The 17,619-nt window shown below is 45.1% G+C and overlaps 6 annotated features.

Moving 5' to 3' along the window:
• Nucleotides 3,523–3,582: an enhancer, noted in NCBI's record as "active region_998". NCBI's record gives its function as "activates an Ori minimal core promoter by ATAC-STARR-seq in GM12878 lymphoblastoid cells {active_cell/tissue: GM12878}" and the evidence as "EXISTENCE:reporter gene assay evidence [ECO:0000049][PMID:35858748]".
• Nucleotides 10,984–11,712: an enhancer, noted in NCBI's record as "H3K27ac-H3K4me1 hESC enhancer chr1:46794429-46795157 (GRCh37/hg19 assembly coordinates)". NCBI's record gives its function as "activates a minimal SCP1, AML or CMV promoter by ChIP-STARR-seq in naive H9 embryonic stem cells {active_cell/tissue: H9 hESC(naive)}" and the evidence as "EXISTENCE:reporter gene assay evidence [ECO:0000049][PMID:30033119]".
• Nucleotides 11,713–12,442: an enhancer, noted in NCBI's record as "NANOG-H3K27ac hESC enhancer chr1:46795158-46795887 (GRCh37/hg19 assembly coordinates)". NCBI's record gives its function as "activates a minimal SCP1, AML or CMV promoter by ChIP-STARR-seq in naive H9 embryonic stem cells {active_cell/tissue: H9 hESC(naive)}" and the evidence as "EXISTENCE:reporter gene assay evidence [ECO:0000049][PMID:30033119]".
• Nucleotides 12,443–13,171: an enhancer, noted in NCBI's record as "NANOG-H3K27ac-H3K4me1 hESC enhancer chr1:46795888-46796616 (GRCh37/hg19 assembly coordinates)". NCBI's record gives its function as "activates a minimal SCP1, AML or CMV promoter by ChIP-STARR-seq in naive H9 embryonic stem cells {active_cell/tissue: H9 hESC(naive)}" and the evidence as "EXISTENCE:reporter gene assay evidence [ECO:0000049][PMID:30033119]".
• Nucleotides 13,902–14,631: an enhancer, noted in NCBI's record as "H3K27ac-H3K4me1 hESC enhancer chr1:46797347-46798076 (GRCh37/hg19 assembly coordinates)". NCBI's record gives its function as "activates a minimal SCP1, AML or CMV promoter by ChIP-STARR-seq in naive H9 embryonic stem cells {active_cell/tissue: H9 hESC(naive)}" and the evidence as "EXISTENCE:reporter gene assay evidence [ECO:0000049][PMID:30033119]".
• Nucleotides 16,167–16,216: a silencer, noted in NCBI's record as "silent region_845". NCBI's record gives its function as "represses an Ori minimal core promoter by ATAC-STARR-seq in GM12878 lymphoblastoid cells {active_cell/tissue: GM12878}" and the evidence as "EXISTENCE:reporter gene assay evidence [ECO:0000049][PMID:35858748]".

The raw sequence follows: 17,619 nt of genomic DNA on the forward strand, positions 1-17,619 counted from the left end.
TGTATTTTTTAAAAGAAGAAGCCAGGTGAGATGGCTCACACATGTAATCCTAGCACTTTGGGAGGCTGAGGTGGGAGGATTACTTGAGGCTGGAAGTTTGAGACCAGCATGGGCAACATAGTGAGACTCTGCCTCTACAAAAAAAAAATTATGTAAGAAACTTTTGGTCAGGTGTGGTGGCTCATACTTATAATCCTAGCACTTTGGGAGAACGAGGTGGGCGGATTGCCTGAGCTCAGGGGTTCAAGACCAGCCTGGGCAACATGGTGAAACCCTGTCTCTACTAAAATACAAAAAAAATTAGCCGGTGTTGTGGTGTGTGCCTGTAGTCCCAGCTACTCTGGAGGCTGAGGCAGGAGAATTGCCTGAACCTGGGAGGCAGAGGTTGCAGTGAGCTGAGATCCCGCCAGTGCACTCCAGCCTGGGCGACAGAGCGAGACTCCGTCTCTAAAAAAAAAAAAAACTTTTCAATTTGGGAGGCCAAGGCGGGGGAATCATGAGGTCAGGAGATCGAGACCATCCTGGCTAACACAGTGAAACCCCATCTACTAAAAATACAAAAAAATCAGCTGGGCATGGTGGTGGGCAGAGAATGGCGTGAACCCGGGAGGCGAAGCTTGCAGTGAGCCAAGATTGCGCCACTGCACTCCAGCCTGGGCAACAGAGTGAGACTCCATCTCAAAAAAAAAAAAAAAAAAAACCTTTTTGGCCAGGCACAGTGGCTCATGCCTGTAATCCCAGCACTTTGGGAGGTCGAGGTGGGCGGATCACCTGAGGTCAGGAGTTTGAGACCAGCCTCAACATGGAGAAACCCCATCTCTACTAAAAATAAAAAAAAAATTAGCCAGGCATAGTGGTGCATGCCTGTAATCCCAGCTACTCGGGAGGCTGAGGCAAGAGAATTGCTTGAACCTGGGAGGTGGAGGTTGCGGTGAGCTGAGATCGCGCCATAAAAAAAACTTTAAAAAGAAAAAACCAGGCGAGGTGGTTCACAACCCGTAATCCCAGCACTTTGGGAGGCCGAGGTGGGTGGATCACGTGAGGTAAGGAGTTTGAGACCAGCCTGGCCAACATGGCAAAACCTCTCTAAAATTAGGTGGGTGTGGTGGTGGGTACCTGTATCCCAGCTACTCGGGAGGCTGAGGCACAAGAATGGCTTGAACAAAACCTCTCTAAAATTAGGTGGGCGTGGTGGTGGGTACCTGTATCCCAGCTACTCGGGAGGCTGAGGCACGAGAATGGCTTGAACTAGGGACGTGGAGGTTGCAGTGAGCTGAGATTGCACTATTGCACTCCAGTCTGGGTGAGAGACAGAGACTCCATCTCAAAAAAATAAAAATTAAAAAAAAAATTTATTTTTCAAAAGACAGGGTTTTGGCCGGGCTTTGTGGCTCACACCTGTAATCCCAGCACTTTGGGAGGCTGAGGCAGGTGGATCACCTGAGGTCAGGAGTTCGAGACCAGCCTGGCCAACATGGCAAAACCCTGTCTCTACTAAAAGTACAAAAATTAGCTGGGCGTGGTGTCACGCGCCTGTAATCCCAGCTACTCAGGAGGCTGAGGCAGGAGAATTGCTTGAACCCAGGAGGTGGAGGTTGCAGTGAACCGAGATCACGCCACTGCACTCCAGCCTGGGTGACAACAGTGAGACTCCATCTCAAAAAGAAAAAAAAAAGAAAAGGTAAAAACCAGAACAAATGCTGTGGTGTTTAGGTATTGGTATGCACACACACACAAAAAAGACAGGGTCTTGCTCTGTTGCCTAAGTTGGGAGTGCAGTGGCAACATCATAGCTCACTGCAGCCTCGAACTGGGCTAAAGAGATCCTCCTACCTCAGCTTCCCATAGCTAGGACTTACAGGTACATGTCACCATGCCTGGCTAATTTTTTAAAAAGGGAATGAGGGCCAGGCGTGGTGGTTCACTGCTGTAATCCCAGCACTTTGGGAGGCCAAGGCAGATAGGTCACTTAAGGTCAGGAGTTTGAGACCAGCCTGGCCAGGCCAACATGATGTATCCCGATCTCTTTTTTTTTTTTTGAGATGGAGTCTTGCTCTGTCACCCAGGCTGGAGTGCAGTGTCGCGATCTCGGCTCACTGCAAGCTCTGCCTCCTGGGTTCATGCAATTCTCCTGCCTCAGCCTCCAGAGTAGCTGGGACTTACAGGCACCCGCTACCACACCCGGCTAATTTTTTGTGTTTTTTTTTAGTAGAGACGGGGTTTCACTGTGTTAGCCAGGGTGGTCTCAATCTCCTGACCTCGTGATCCACCCACCTTGGCCTCCCAAAGTGCTGGTATTACAGGGGTGAGCCACCGCGCCTGGCCCCAAATCTCATTTCAAATTGTAATCCCCAGGTGTCAAAGGAGGGACCTGGTGGGAGATGACTGGATCATGGGGGTGGTTTCCCCCATGCTATTCACATGATAGTGAATGAGTTCTCATGAGATCTGATGGTTTAAAAGATTTTGACAGTCCCCCCCCATCTCATTGCCAGCTCCTCTCTGACCCCGCTGCTGCTATGTGTGGGGAAAAGAAAGAGGGATCAGATTGTTACTGTGTCTGTGTAGAAAGAAGTAGACATAGGAGACTCCATTTTGTTCTGTACTAAGAAAAATTCTTCTGCCTTGAGATGCTGTTAATCTGTAACCTTACCCCCAACCCTGTGCTCTCTGAAACATGTGCTGTGTCAACTCAGGGTTAAATGGATTAAGGGCTGTGCAAGATGTGCTTTGTTAAACAGATGCTTGAAGGCAGCATGCTCCTTAAGAGTCATCACCACTCCCTAATCTCAAGTACCCAGGCAAACACTGCGGAAGGCTTCAGGGACCTCTGCCTAGGAAAGCCAGGTATTGTCCAAGGTTTCTCCCCATGTGATAGTCTGAAATATGGCCTCGTGGGAAGGGAGAGACCTGACCATCCCCCAGCCCGACACCCGTAAAGGGTCTGTGCTGAGGAGAATTAGTAAAAGAGGAGGGAATGCCTCTTTGCAGTTGAGACAAGAGGAAGGCATCTCTCTCCTGCGCGTCCCTGGGCAATGGAATGTCTCAGTGTAAAACCCAATTGTATATTCCATCTACTGAGATAGGGGAAAACCGCCTCAGGGGTGGAGGTGGGACATGCGGTGGGCAATACTGCTCTTTAAGGCATTGAGATGTTTATGTGTATGCATATCTAAAGCACAGCACTTAATTCTTTACCTTGTCTATGATGCAGAGACCTTTGTTCACCTGTTTATCTGCTGACCTTCTCTCCACTATTATCCTATGACCCTGCCACATCCCCCTCTCTGAGAGAGAAACACCCAAGAATGATCAATAAATACTAAGGGAACTCAGAGGCTGGCAGGATCCTCCATATGCTGAACGCTGGTCCCCTGGGCCCCCTTATTTCTTTCTCTATACTTTGTCTCCGTGTCTTTTTCTTTTCCAAGTCTCTTGTTCCACCTAACGAGAAACACACACAGGTGTGGAGGGGCAACCCGCCCCTTCAGCTATGTAAGATGTATCTTGTTTCCCCTTTGCCTTCCCACATGATTGAAAGTTCCTGAGGCCTTCCCAGCCATGTGGAACTGAGTTAATTAAGCCTCTTGTGTTTATAAATTACTCAGTCTCAAGTAGGTTTTTTGCGAAGAGGCGCGGTGGTTCACGCTTGTAATCCAGCCTGGGCAACAGAGTGAAACACTGTCTTGAAAAAAAAAAAAAAATTCAAATGTACACCAAGGGTGAAATTTTGCAGTGAACATCCCTAAACCCATCACCCAGATTTTAGTAAATGTTTACTGATTGGTTTGGCTCTGTGTCCCCCGCCAAATCTCATCTTGTAGCTGCCATAATTCCCATGCGTTGTGGGAGGGACCTGGTGGGAGATGATTGAATCAGTGGGGCAGGTCCTTCTTGTGTTGTTCTTGTGATAGCGAATGGGTCTCACGAGATCTGATGGTTTTAAAAACAGGAGTTTCCCTGCACAAGCCCTTTTTGCATGCTGCCATCCACGTAAGATGTGACTTGCACTGTACTACAATAAGTAAGAGTAAGACTCTGTCCAGGAAAAAAAAAAAAGAAAAGAAAAAAGAAAGAAATGCCTAAGATGGCCGGGTGCGGTGGCTCATGCCTGTAATCCCAGCACTTTGGGAGGCCAAGGCGGGTGGATCGCGAGGTCAAGAGATCAAGACCATCCTGGCTAACACGGTGAAAACCCATCTCTACTAAAAATACAAAAAATTCGCCGGGTGTGGTGGCAGGCGCCTGTAGTCCCAGCTACTCAGGAGGCTGAGGCAGGAGAATGGCGTGAAGCCGGGAGGCAGAGCTTGCAGTGAGCCGAGATCGTGCCACTGCACTCCAGCCTGGGCAATAGAACGAGACTCCAGCTAAAAAAAAAAAAAAAGAAATGCCTGAGACTGGGTAATTTATAAAGAAAAGAGGTTTAATTGGCTCACAGTTCTGCAGGCAAGCATGGGTGGGGAGGCCTCAGGAAACTTACAATCATGGCGGAAGGTGAAGGGGAAGCAGGCTCATCTTACATGGCTGGAGCAGGAGGGATAGAGAGAAGGGGGAGGTGGTATACACTTTTTGTTTTGTTTTGTTTTCAGATGGAGTCTCACTCTGTCGCCCAGGCAGGAGTGCAATGGTGAGATCACGGCTCACTGCAGTCTCCACCTCCTGGGTTCAAGCCTCAGCCTTCCGAGTAACTGGGACTACAGGCACATGCCACCATGCCCGGCTAAATTTTTTTTTTTTTTTTTGTATTTTTAGTAGAGATGGGGTTTCACCTTATTGGCCAGGCTGGTCTCGAACTCCTGACCTCATGACCCACCTGCCTCGGCCTCCCAAAGTGCTGGGATTACAGGCGTAAGCCACCACAACCAGCTGGTGCTATACACTTTTAAACAACTTGATATGAGATTTGGGCAGGGATGCAGATCCAAACCACGTAAGGTTTTAAAATGGTTAACAGAAAAATGGCTTAAAATTTTAATTGGCTTTATATGGCATTAAATTTAATTAATTAATTAATTTCTCTTTCCCCTCCCTGCCCTCTTTTATGGCATTTTAGTTCCCAGAAGTGGTCTACATAAAACTGTCAAAAGTAAAAAAGTTAAATACATATAAATAAATATTTGTGGGTGTGCTTTTTGTGTGGCTTAAAATCTTAAACTGGAGCAGGATTGGCCGGGCACAGTGGGTCATGCCTGTAATCCCGGCACTTTGGGAGGCCGAGGCGGGTGGATCATGAGGTCAGGAGATCGAGACTATCCTGGCTAACAGGGTGAAACCCCGTCTTTACTAAAAATACAAAAAATTAGCTGGGTGTGGTACCATGCACCTGTAATCCCAGCTACTCAGGAGGCTGAGGCAGGAGAATCCCTTGAACTCAGGAGGCAGAGATTGCAGTGAGTCGAGGTTGCGCCATTGCCTGGGTGACAGAGCAAGACTCCATCTCAAACAAAACAAAACAAATAAACTGGGGCATGATTTCTGGATTCCTAGATTTTCACTAAAATTTATGTTTGTTAAGAATTTAAGGTAACATGTAATTCTGTATATAAAATATGCCAAAAGATGGTGCTCTTATTAATTTTTTCTTTTGGCCAATTTGGGTATTATTTAAAGAGAAGTTTAAAATAAGAAACTGGGCCAGGTGCAGTGGTTCACACGTGTAATTCCAGTACTTTGGGAGGCCAAGGCAGAGGATCAATTGAGCACAGGAGTTTGAGACCAGCCTGGGCAACATAGGGAGACCCTATCCCTAAACAAACAAAAAAATGAGCAGGGCGTGGTGGTACATGCCTGTGGACCCAGCTATTCGTGAGACTTAGGTGAGAAGATTGCTTGAGCCTGGGAGGTTGAGGCTGCAGTGAGCTATGATTGCTCCAGTTTGGGCAACAGACTGAAACCTTGTCTCAAAAAATTAAAAAATGAAAAAGAAACCAGTAAGTAGGAGAAAGAGATATAAAGAAAGATATAGGCCGGGTGCGGTGGCTCACGCCTGTAATCCCAGCACTTTGGGAGGCCGAGGCGGGCGGATCACCTGAGGTCAGAAGTTCGGGACCAGCCTGACCAATATGATAAAACCCTGTCTGTACTAAAAACACAAAAATTAGCTGGGCGTGGTGGTATATGCGCCTGTAATCCCAGCTACTCGGGAGGCTGAGACAGGAGAATCGCTTGAACTCGGGAGGCGGAGGCTGTGGTGAGCTGAGGTTGCACCATTGCACTCCAGCCTGGGCAACAATAGTGAAACTCCGTCTTAAAAAAAGAAAGAAGGAAAGAAAGAGAGAGAGAAAGAAAGAAAGATACAGAAATAAAGATGTATTTTTAATTTTAAAAATATAGGCCGAGGCCGGGCGTGGTGGCTCACGCCTATAATCCCAGCACTTTGAGAGGCTGAGGCAGGCGGATCATGCGGTTAAGAAATCGAGACCATCCTGGCCAACATTGTGAAACCCTGTCTCTACTAAAAACACAAACATATTAGCTGAGCGTGGTGGTGTGCGCCTGTAGTCCCGGCTACTCCGGAGGCTGAGGCAGGAGAATCGCTTGAACCCGGGAGGTGGAGGTTGCAGTGAGCCGAGATCTGTGCCACTACACTCTAGTCTGGCAACAGAGCGAGACTCTGACTCAAAAAAATAAAAAATAAAAAATACACACACACACACACACACACACACACACACACACACACGAGTAATTTTACATGAGGTAAAATCTTATGTGGTAAATTCTTGTCCTAGAGTGAAATGACTGGTTATTTATTTTATTTTATTTATTTATTTAGTTTTATTTTTTGAGATGGAGTCTCGCTCTGTCACCCAGGCTGGAGTGCAGTGGCACGACCTCGGCTCACTGCAAGCTCCGTCTCCTGGGTTCACGCCATTCTCCTTCCTCAGCCTCCCGAGTAGCTGGGACTACAGGCGCCCGCCACTGCGCCCGGCTAATTTTTTGTATTTTTAGTAGAGATGGGGTTTCACCATGTTAGCCAGGGAGGTCTCAATCTCTTGACCTCGTGATCCACCCACCTCAGCTTCCCAAAGTGCTCAGATTACAGGAGTGAGCCACCGCACCTGGCCTATTTTATTTTATTTTTGAGATGGAGTTTTCCTCTTGTTGCCCAGGCTGTAGTGCAATGGCACGATCTCGGCTCACCAAAACCTCCGCCTCCCGGGTTCAAGTGATTCTCCTGCCTCAGCCTCCCGAGTAGCTGGGATTACAGGCATGCGCCACCACACCCGACCGATTTTGTACTTTTTAGTAAAGACGGGGTTTCTCCATGTTGGTCAGGCTGGTCTTGAACTCCCGACCTCAGGTGATTCACCTGCCTTGGCATCCCAAAGTGTTGGGACTACAGGCGCCCACCACCACGCTGACTAATTTTTTTGTATTTTTTTAGTAGATACAGGGTTTCACCGTGTTAGCCAGGATGGTCTCGATCTCCTGACCTCGTGATCTGCCCTTCTTGGTCTTCCAAAGTGCTGGGATTACAGGCGTGAGCCACCGTGCCCGGGTGATAAGTTCTTAAAAGAAACAGGTTATAGTATTGAAAAGCAAAATTTCTTGTAATTTTTTTTTTTTGAGACAGAGTCTCACTCTGTCCCCCTACCCCGAGAATCAATTACAACCAAAATAAAAGAGCCTTTAATAGGTATTGTTAAGTACCCCCAACTACTATTAACCTTTAGGAAATCACTAGCTGGGTACACCTGTCCAATATTAAACCTGTTTCTTATGAGTCCCTGTAGGAGTAAAAGGAGGACATCATGACCTACACTTGTGAACTTGTAGCAGGATGAGCCGCAGACAAAACCTCTCAGACACCGAGTTGTAGAAGGAAGGGCTTTATTCAGCTGGGAGCATCGGCAAGCTACTGCCTTAAAATCCGAACTCCCCAAGAGAGCAATTCCTGTCCCTTTTAAGGGCTCACAACTCTAAGGATTTCACATGAAAGGGTCGTGATTGATTTGGAGCAAGCAAGGGGTACGTGACAGGGGCTGCATGCACCGGTGGTCAGAGAGAAACAGAACAGGGCAGGGAGTTTCACAATGTTCTTCTGCACAATGTCTGGAATCTATGAATAACATCGGTTTTTAAGTTATGAGTTGATTTTTAACTACTGGGTTTAGGCCAGGCAGGCCCAGGCTTGGTTTCGGGCCTGGCGCTGGGCTGCCTGTCTTTGGTTTTACTTCCTTGTTTTTTTTTTTTTTTTTTCTTAAAATAGGTACTGAGTATAAAACAATATAAAACAATATGAGAAGGTCTCTCTCTCCCCTCATTTCCCCCCTTTGAGACTCTCACTTTCTATTAGTGGGAGTTCTGACTTTTATTTTTGCTACTTATGTCTTTTTGTGCAATAGATTGATAGTGATTTATATAGTACACTTGTGCTAAAGCATTTTGGTGAACTAAGATAGTGATGAAGCTTTTTATCATTTGAAGAAGTACAGGTAGCAAACAAGGAAGCAGTAAACAGGTTCTTATTACTATTATAAATTCTATTATAAGAGTTTTAAATCCTTCTAGTGCTGGGAACTAATTTTTAAACATGGCTTCAGGATCGAATTCATGCTACACTTGCATGGGCACATGTGTCAGTTTTGTCATATTTTTAACTATGTCTTTAACTACTTGCCTTTGATTATCTATGTGTAGACAGTAATTAGTAAGGTTAAATTTCTTATAGACCTCTCTTTCAGCTGCTAGCAAGTAGTTGAGAGCCAATCTATTTTGATAGATAGCATTTCTTATCTGAGTTTCTTGCTGGGCCAGAATAGTCAAGGCTTGACTGGTTTTACTAGTGATGATTTCTAAAACAGCTTGCAGCTGTATGATTCAGTTGAGCATGTAAGTGGGGGTCCAGTATCCCCATGAGCCGTCTTGTGTCTAAGTGGCAGGCCTATAGTATTATATAATTTTTTTTTGAAGGTCATTTATCATCTTTCCAATTTCCTATGGCTATGCTTCATTTTCCGCGGGAAGCATAGACAGGGAAGCCCAGGAGTTTGCCTGTTTTTATGGTCAGTAGAAAGAAAGATGGTTTAATAGTGCCAATAACACAACTACCTGTCCACTGGTCAGGCAGCTTAGCTTAAGCTCTATGTCTACGTATTCAGTATAACTTGGTGGGGGCAGTCCAGTCCCGGTGGAATTCCAGGTGGGCCCAGACAGTCTGCAACCTTGGAAATTTACTGAATGGATCTCTTTCTATATAATTGGAACTTCACCATGTAACTGTTTTTTTGCGGTACCATTATACAGTTCTTGGCCCAAACAACTAAGACATCCTATAGAATGAGTGAATTCTTTCTTTTTTCTAGCTATGTAATATTGTCCAATAATTGAGACTTTTAGAACCTAGAGATGATCAGGGTGATTCTTGTGGGCCAGGAATTCATCAGGAACTGCGTCTGTAGGCACTAATTCTTGGGCTTTTTATGGCCATTGAGCTCTTATTACAGTTTTTTCACAAACATAACATGAAGTGACATTTAGAGACTGGGCTACACGCTCGGCTAATTGCAAAAACAAATTTCTGGTTTTTCCTGGAGTCTCTTGGTACTGGCAAATTTAGTTCATCATAGAAAGTCTGAAATACTGGTTCCAGAGAGAGTTTACAAAACTCCTCTTTTACTAAGATATTTGCTGTAGGACCTAGTCTTTTCCTATTGATGCCCAGAGATACGTGTTCTCCTTTTTTCTACCTTGGGTTTAAGGGATTTGTAATTATTAATTTCAAGGGGTTCCAATGTCCACTCGTATAGGAGGGGCTGCATTCTCCTTTTTGGAGCTAAACAGGATCTTTTTCATCCTTTTTCTAAGTAGTCTAGATGACACAAGACCAGTAATTACACACATTTGCACATGAGCTTAATTCATGGCAGATATACTTATTTCCTGCCGTGTAAACTTTTTTTTTTTCAACTTAAAGAACTGCATCTTATTTTATGCCAATTACTATTGATAGTGGCACAAGCATTAAATTTTAGGGTTATATGCTTGGAGACCCCTCTTTCTTCTGTCCTAGCTATTACTTTACTTGTGTCGCCTAGAAAAGGACCAGTCATTAATTTTATTTTAAAAACTGATCATGGGAGGCTTAAAATGGGTCATAACACGCATCAGGTTGGTTATTTCCTGGGCTACATACCTTGGATAGAATTGCATTATACAAACAACTTTTAGAGTCCTGGTACACTTATAATAACCATAAAATAATAAGACTTTAGCAATCTTTTGTCCCTCAGTGACTTGATGTATATACTGGGAACAGCCCTCAGTCTTAGGAAGGTCAGTTGAAGTCCTTACAATACAAGTCCAAATTTTAAGGAAAATGAGTCCCCTGCTATGAGTTTCCTCATGCTTCAGCTGTGTGTGGACCAGTCAGCTTCCGGGTATGACTGGAGCAGGGCTTGTCGTCTTCTTCAGAGTCACTTTGCAGGGGTTGGCGAAGCTGCTCCCATCCGCGTACAGCTCCCAGTCTACTGCTGTTTAAGGATGGTCTCGGAGTTTGGGCCCACTAGAATAAACTGAGTCCAATACTTCTACACAGTTATGTTTAACTGGGCTCTCTGATACAAGATGCCCAGCAAGATGGCGGGGTTTAGGGTGTTGCAAACTTCAATGGTTATGCAGGGATTTTCACAGAGCAAGCTTTGGTATCTAGTTAGTCCAGCATTCATTAGTTAATGGTGTCCTTTGGTATTTATTAAAATCACCACAGCATGGGGGGACTTTAGGTTTTGCCTAAGAGTTAGCTTATTTGCTTCTTGTGCTAACAGGGCCGTTGCTGCCAGGGCCCTTGGACGTGGGGCCAGCCTTTGGAAACCCCGTCTAGTTGCTTTGAGAGATAGGCCACTGGCCTTGGCCAGGGCCCTACAGTCTGGGTTAAAACTCTAACTGCCATTTTTTCTCTTTCTGACACATAGAGTGTAAAGAGTTTTGTCAGGTCAGATAGCCTCAGGGCTGGGCCCAAAAGGAGTTTTTTTTTAACTCATGTAAAGCTCATTGTAATAGATGTAGTTTTTCTAATCTACATTTTTATTGACTGTCATCTATCAAAATATTGACTTAAATCCTGTAACTATTTGATTTCAAGCTTTAAATTGATCTGGTATTCCTTGCGGGGCTCCAGTTGCATCTAAATAGATGTGAGAGTTGAAAGACCTATAAGGAGCTTCTCTCGCTTTATGATGTCTTATTTTTTTTTTTTCCTCTGGTTGATGAAATGCCAGGGTAAAAGGGATAGCCAAATGGACTAAAGCACAAGTGCCACTCTAGTTATTCAGCAGAGTGCCCAGTAAAGGTCCACCACAATACCACCATACATCCACTCGGGGATGAACAGAGGCTGACTGATTGATAAGCTCTTGAAAATTCTTAAGCTCACTGCATCCCTTCAGGTCTCCAAGGAATGCTAAATCTCCTCCCTGCCATGAGAGACAAGAAGTGAACTTAGTGTTGGGAGACATAAGTTGGATGGCCCTCCGGGGCTGACCCGCAGGGACTTCAGGATATAGCAGAGAGAGCTTGGCATGACTTATCACTCCAGGCTGTAGAATCCTGGAAAAGAGCTACCATGCAGCCCACGCCTGGTCGACTGGAGGACCACCTTAGTGGAAGGGGGACAATCAGGGCCTCTGGCCTGCCACGTGCACAAGCATAACAATTGCTTTTGTTTAACGTGCAGATGGAATATATGATCCATTTCAACCAGGCATTTGCATCTTGGTATGCCGTCTTAATTGCCAAAGTTTGTTTTAAGTCTTTAACTTGTATGGTCCTCTAGTAAAATGAATGTTTCCTTTAGCACCTATTTTTATTAGTTTTTAGACCAAAGAAAGCTAAACATTATTTTATATTTAATAATGTTTCTTGTATGATTTTTATACCAGATAAGTTAAATTTTACCTTTATATTAGTGTGTTGTTAATGTTAAACTTAATTTTAATAAAACCTTGTAGACATATTTATCCAATTTTTTATGTTTGACCAATTTTTTATGCTTGAAGGCGGCATGCTCATTAAGAGTCATCACCACTCCCTAATCTCAAGTACCCAGGGACACAAACACTGCAGAAGGCCTCAGGGACCTCTGCCTAGGAAAGCCAGGTATTGTCCAAGGTTTCTCCCCATGTGATAGTCTGAAATATGGCCTCGTGGGAAGGGAAAGACCTGACCATCCCCCAGCCCGACACCCGTAAAGGTTCTGTGCTGAGGAGAATTAGTAAAAGAGGAAGGAATGCCTCTTTGCAGTTGAGACAAGAGGAAGGCATCTATCTCCTGCGCGTCCCTGGGCAATGGAATGTCTCAGTGTAAAACCCAATTGTATATTCCATCTACTGAGATAGGGGAAAACCGCCTCAGGGGTGGAGGTGGGACATGCGGTGGGCAATACTGCTCTTTAAGGCATTGAGATGTTTATGTGTATGCATATCTAAAGCACAGCACTTAATTCTTTACCTTGTTCATGATGCAGAGAGCTTTGTTCACGTGTTTACCTGCTGACCTTCTCTCCACTATTATCCTATGACCCTGCCACATCCCCCTCTCTGAGAGAGAAACACCCAATAATGATCAATAAATACTAAGGGAACTTAGAGTCCGGCGGGATCCTCCGTATGCTGAACGCTGGTCCCCTGGGCCCCCTTATTTCTTTCTCTATACTTTGTCTCCATGTCTTTTTCTTTTCCAAGTCTCTCGTTCCACCTAACAAGAAACACCCAAAGGTGTGGAGGGGCAACCCACCCCTTCATTTTTTGTTTACAACTTTTGGAGACAATTTTTCAACATGTCTCAACTTTCTGACTTATTACAAACTTTTTTTCTTTAAACAAACAGTTAATTTATTTCAGGACAAGAATTTACCATATAACACTCTTTTTACATAAATTTTGCCTGCCCCCCTTTTTTTTTCTTTTTTTGAAGATAACCATTCCTTATGTCTTTGGACTAGACTGTCCAAGGCCACAAGATTAGAAGTTACCATAATACATGTTACACTGTTAACTTTTAGCAAACGTCACTTTTGTTGAAAACCTTGTAAGTTTGGGATTTCAATTATCCTTTGCTATTAATAAGACCTTGTTTAGTCTAAATTAACTTAGAATTGGTATAGATGGCCTCTTTTTCTCTCTGCTGGTCTTTCCTTGCCTCTGCCAGCCATTTATGCCGCTATTCTTTTTTTTGAGATGGAGTCTTGCTCTGTCGCCCGGGCTAGAGTGCAGTGGTGCGATCTCAGCTCACTGCAAGCTCCGCCTCCTAGGTTCATGCCATTCTCCTGCCTCAGCCTCCCCAGCAGCTGGGACTACAGGTGCCTGCCACCACGCCCAGCTAATTTTTTTTTTTTGTATTTTTAGTAGAGACGGGGTTTCACCGTGTTAGCCAGGATGGTCTCGATCTCCTGACCTTGTGATCCGCCCGCCTCGGCCTCCCAAAGTGCTGGGATTACAGGTTTGAGCCACCGTGCCCGGCCATTATGCTGCTATTCTCTTGACTGCTGTGGGGGGGAAGGGGGTCTAAAACCAGCTGTAACTGTCTATGTACAGAAACTGGTCTGGGTGCCTTGGCTTACAGGTGGCCTTCTGTCATACCTTTGAAACAACGGACCTGTCCAGGCCAACCCACCTCTAATGCTGTCCAGTCTATTTCACACAAAGTTTTAAGTTTTCCTGGTGCCACAGTAACACCGTAATCTCCCTTAAATTCTCTCTTGAAATTCTCTTTTTAACATAGTTCCTAGTGGGGTGGGCTTATTTGCCTGACCCATGCTGCTTTTTTTTTTTGATACAAAATACCATGCTCACATCACACACACTCACCACAAGACAAAGAACAGGTAAAAAGGGCACACATACACTTTTACCGTTTATACCAAACCAAAATCACGAAATTCAAAATCCGAGTACCAAAAAATCCAAGACAAGTCAAAACCAAAACCAAAGTATCCAGCAATTCAAGTCAAGTTAAAACCAGAACAAAAGTGCCAATGCAGACCCGCCATGGGTGATCAGGCCATGCTTCCACTCAGATGGAGTGGGGCAAGTTCCAAAGACTAGTCTTACCAAGTTTCAGATGTCCGGACTCCAAGTGCCAGTTCCTTCCTGGTGTTCAGCCACTGTGTTAATCCTCTGTGGGGGCCTGCTACATGCTGCTCTGGCGACGCGTTCCACTGGGGCAATTGCCTACCCGGGAGCACTCTTTGGATCGCGTCACTCAAGCTGTCTGGAGTCCCCCACAGGGACGCTCCACAGGGCAGGTTTAAGCCGGCCGTCAGTCACCTCGCTTCCCGGTCAGGGAACCAAGAAATGTAGCAGGACAAGCCGCAGACAAAAACCTCTCAGACACCGAGTTGTAGAAGGAAGGGCTTTATTCATCTGGGAGCATCGGCAAGCTACTGCCTTAAAATCCGAACTCCCCGAGTGAGCAATTCCTGTCCCTTTTAAGGGCTCACAACTCTAAGGATTTCACATGAAAGGGTCGTGATTGATTTGAGCAAGCAAGGAGTACGTGACAGGGGCTGCATGCACCGGTGCTCAGAGAGAAACAGAACAGGGCAGGGAGTTTCACAGTGTTCTTCTATACAATGTCTGGAATCTATGAATAACATCGGTTTTTAAGTTATGAGTTGATTTTTAACTACTGGGTTTAGGTCAGGCAGGCCAGGGCCTGGTTTCGGGCCTGGCGCCGGGCTGCCTGTCTTTGGTTTTACTTCCTTGTTTTTTTTTTTTTTTCTTAAAACAGGTACTGAGTATAAAACAATATAAAACCATATGAGAAGTTCTCTCTCTTCCCTCAAACTCTTATAAGACTTAAAGTTGTGGCCGGGCACGGTGGCTCATGCCTGTAATCCCAGCACTTTGGGAGGCCGAGACGGGCGGATCACGAGGTCAGGAGATTGAGACTATCCCGGCTAACACAGTGAAACCCCGTCTCTACTAAAAATACAAAAAATTAGCTGGGCGTGTTGGCGGGCGCCTGTAGTCCCAGCTACTCGGGAGGCTGAGGCAGGAGAATGGCGTGAACCCGGGAGGCGGAGCTTGCAGTGAGCTGAGATCGCGCCACTGCACTCCAGCCTGGGGGACAGAGCGAGACTCCGTCTCAAAAAAAAAAAAAGTTGTTATTTCACAAACACAAAACTAAATAATATTACAAGGCTGAGTATGTGCAGTATTAAACTATATTTGTTATTCTCACCTGGTTTTTACCTTTCCTAAGACTTTTAAATAGCGATTCTATTATTACTAATTTTTGGCCCTTGCTTGTTTAACCTCCTAGTAACATTTGTGTCTTCTAGACTACAATAATTCCACATGAAAACAATGCTGGCACAAGACTTCTAACCCATCCCATCTTCTGACTTAGAAAATAAAAACAAGCAGCTATTAGACCCATCAGATTAGGTATCCAGAGATTGTCACTCCTCCAATGCTAGGCAGGGCCTATGACCATAAAATTAGCAGAAAACAGCTACAGAAGATGGCCCTCTTCCCTTCTGCAGCCCATTTAAGGTCTTTTTAAAGAGAGAGTCTCACTCTGTCCCCCAGGCTGGAGCGCAGTGGTGCTATCTTGGCCCACTGCAACCTCCTCCCGAGTTCAAATGATTCTCCTGCCTCAGCCTCCTGAGTAGCCTGGACCACAGGCCTGTGCCCCACGCCCAGCTAATTTTTGTATTTTTAATACAGATGGGGTTTCATTATGATGGCCAGGCTGGTCTCGAACCCCCGGCCTCAAGTGATCTACCTGCTTTGGCCTCCCAAAGTGCTGGGATTACAGGCCTAAGCCACCACACCTGGCCGCCCCTTTAAGATTAAGGAGGAGTATCTAATCTCTGAGGGGGAATGAAGTAGGGGACTGGCAGGAATTATTTCCAGCTCCCAAGGTGCCGCTTAGATAAAATGAAGAAACCGGCAGGAACCAGCAGATGGCAACAAAAACCATCCCTAGCTACCCTCACTGGTCATTAGCATAAGATACTTCCTCTGGGGCATATTTACAGATGCTATGGCAATGACCAGGAAGTTACTGCCCCTTTCCTAGAAAGTTAGGAATAACCTGCCCCTCAATTTGCATTAGCCTGCTTCTTAATTTGCATCTAATTAAAAGTGGGTGTAAGTGGCTATAAATACAGTTGCTAACAGGACAAGAGCGGCTCTGGGCACACTGCCTATGAGTTGTCTCTACTCTACAAGGAGTAGCTCCAGTTCAATAAAAATTGCTGTTTGACCACTCATGGTGGCTGATGCCTCCAATAACAGCACTTGGGGAGGCTGAGGCAGGAAGATTGCTTGAGCTCAGGAGCTTGAGACCAGCCTGGGCAACATAATGAGATCTTGTCTCTACAAAAAATACAAAAATTAGCTGGTCATGGTGGTGGGCACCTGTGGTCCCAGCTACTTGGGTAGCTGAGGTGGGAAGCTTGTTTGAGCCCAGTAGGTTGAGACTGCAGTGAATTGGGATTGCACCACTGCACTCTAGCCTGGGTGGCAGAGTGAGACCCTGACTCAAAAAAAAATTGCTGTTTAACACCACCGGCTCACCCTTAAATTCTTTCCTGGGCAAAGCCAAGATCCTTCCCAGACTAAGCCCCAGTTTTGGGGCTCGCCTGCCTGTCTGCATCTAAACCACAGCCCTGCACAAAAACCATCACAACCTTACACAAAATACTACTGTGAAAACATCTGCCCAGTAACTGCCTGTCCAACCTTGGACTGATGCTTGTTATTGACTAACCCTTGTTACTAATTCTTGTAGCAAGGGATAATTGTTCCAAAACAACTTACTATGTGTAACGATTCTCACTTTTCCTTTAACCCCCGCCCCCCCTGCTTTTTTTTTCAGGTCAGGCATAGTGGTTCATGCCTGTAATCCCAACTCTTTGAGTGGCCAAGGCAGGCGGTCCCTTGAGCCCAGGAGTTTGAGACCAGCCTGGGTAAAATGGTGAAACCTCATCTCTACAAAAAATATGAAAATTAGCCAGGTGTGGTGGCTTGTGCCAGTAGTAGTCCCAGCTACTTGGGAGGCTGAGGCAGGAGGATTGATTGAGCCTGGGAGGTTGAGGCTGCAGTGAGCCATGACTGTGCAACTGCGCTCCAGCCTGGGCAACACAATGAGACCCTGTCTCAAAAAAAATTAAAAAACAAAAAACAACTCTTGTTTTCCTTTACCTCCTCATATGCCCGTAGGTTAATATGGTACCATATTCCACATTGCAATGCTTACTCCTGAATTAATTGATTATATTTGGATAATCTCTTTTATTTAGTTTGACAACAGAACTAAGGTAGAAAGAAATCAACTATAAATATAAGAGTGGAAATCAATTACATATAAAAGAAACGGAGGAAAACAACAAAACCGAAAGCTAGTCCTTTGAAAAGTTCAATAAAATATATAAACATCTCATTAGCCTGATAAGGTACAAAAGAGGGAAGACACAAATTGCCAATATCAGTAATAGGGGACATCACTAAGGATCCTATAAACCAAAGGTCAGCAAGCTTTTTCTGTAAAGATTCAGGGAGCATGTTTGGCTTTGTGGGCCACACATGATCTGTGGAGCAACTACTTAACTCTATTGCAGTGGTAAAGGAGCCATAAAAATTATGTATTTATATTTCAAAAACAGGCTGC

Source organism: Homo sapiens, chromosome 1 (assembly GCF_000001405.40).
Source record: "Homo sapiens chromosome 1, GRCh38.p14 Primary Assembly".
Lineage (NCBI taxonomy): Eukaryota > Metazoa > Chordata > Mammalia > Primates > Hominidae > Homo > Homo sapiens.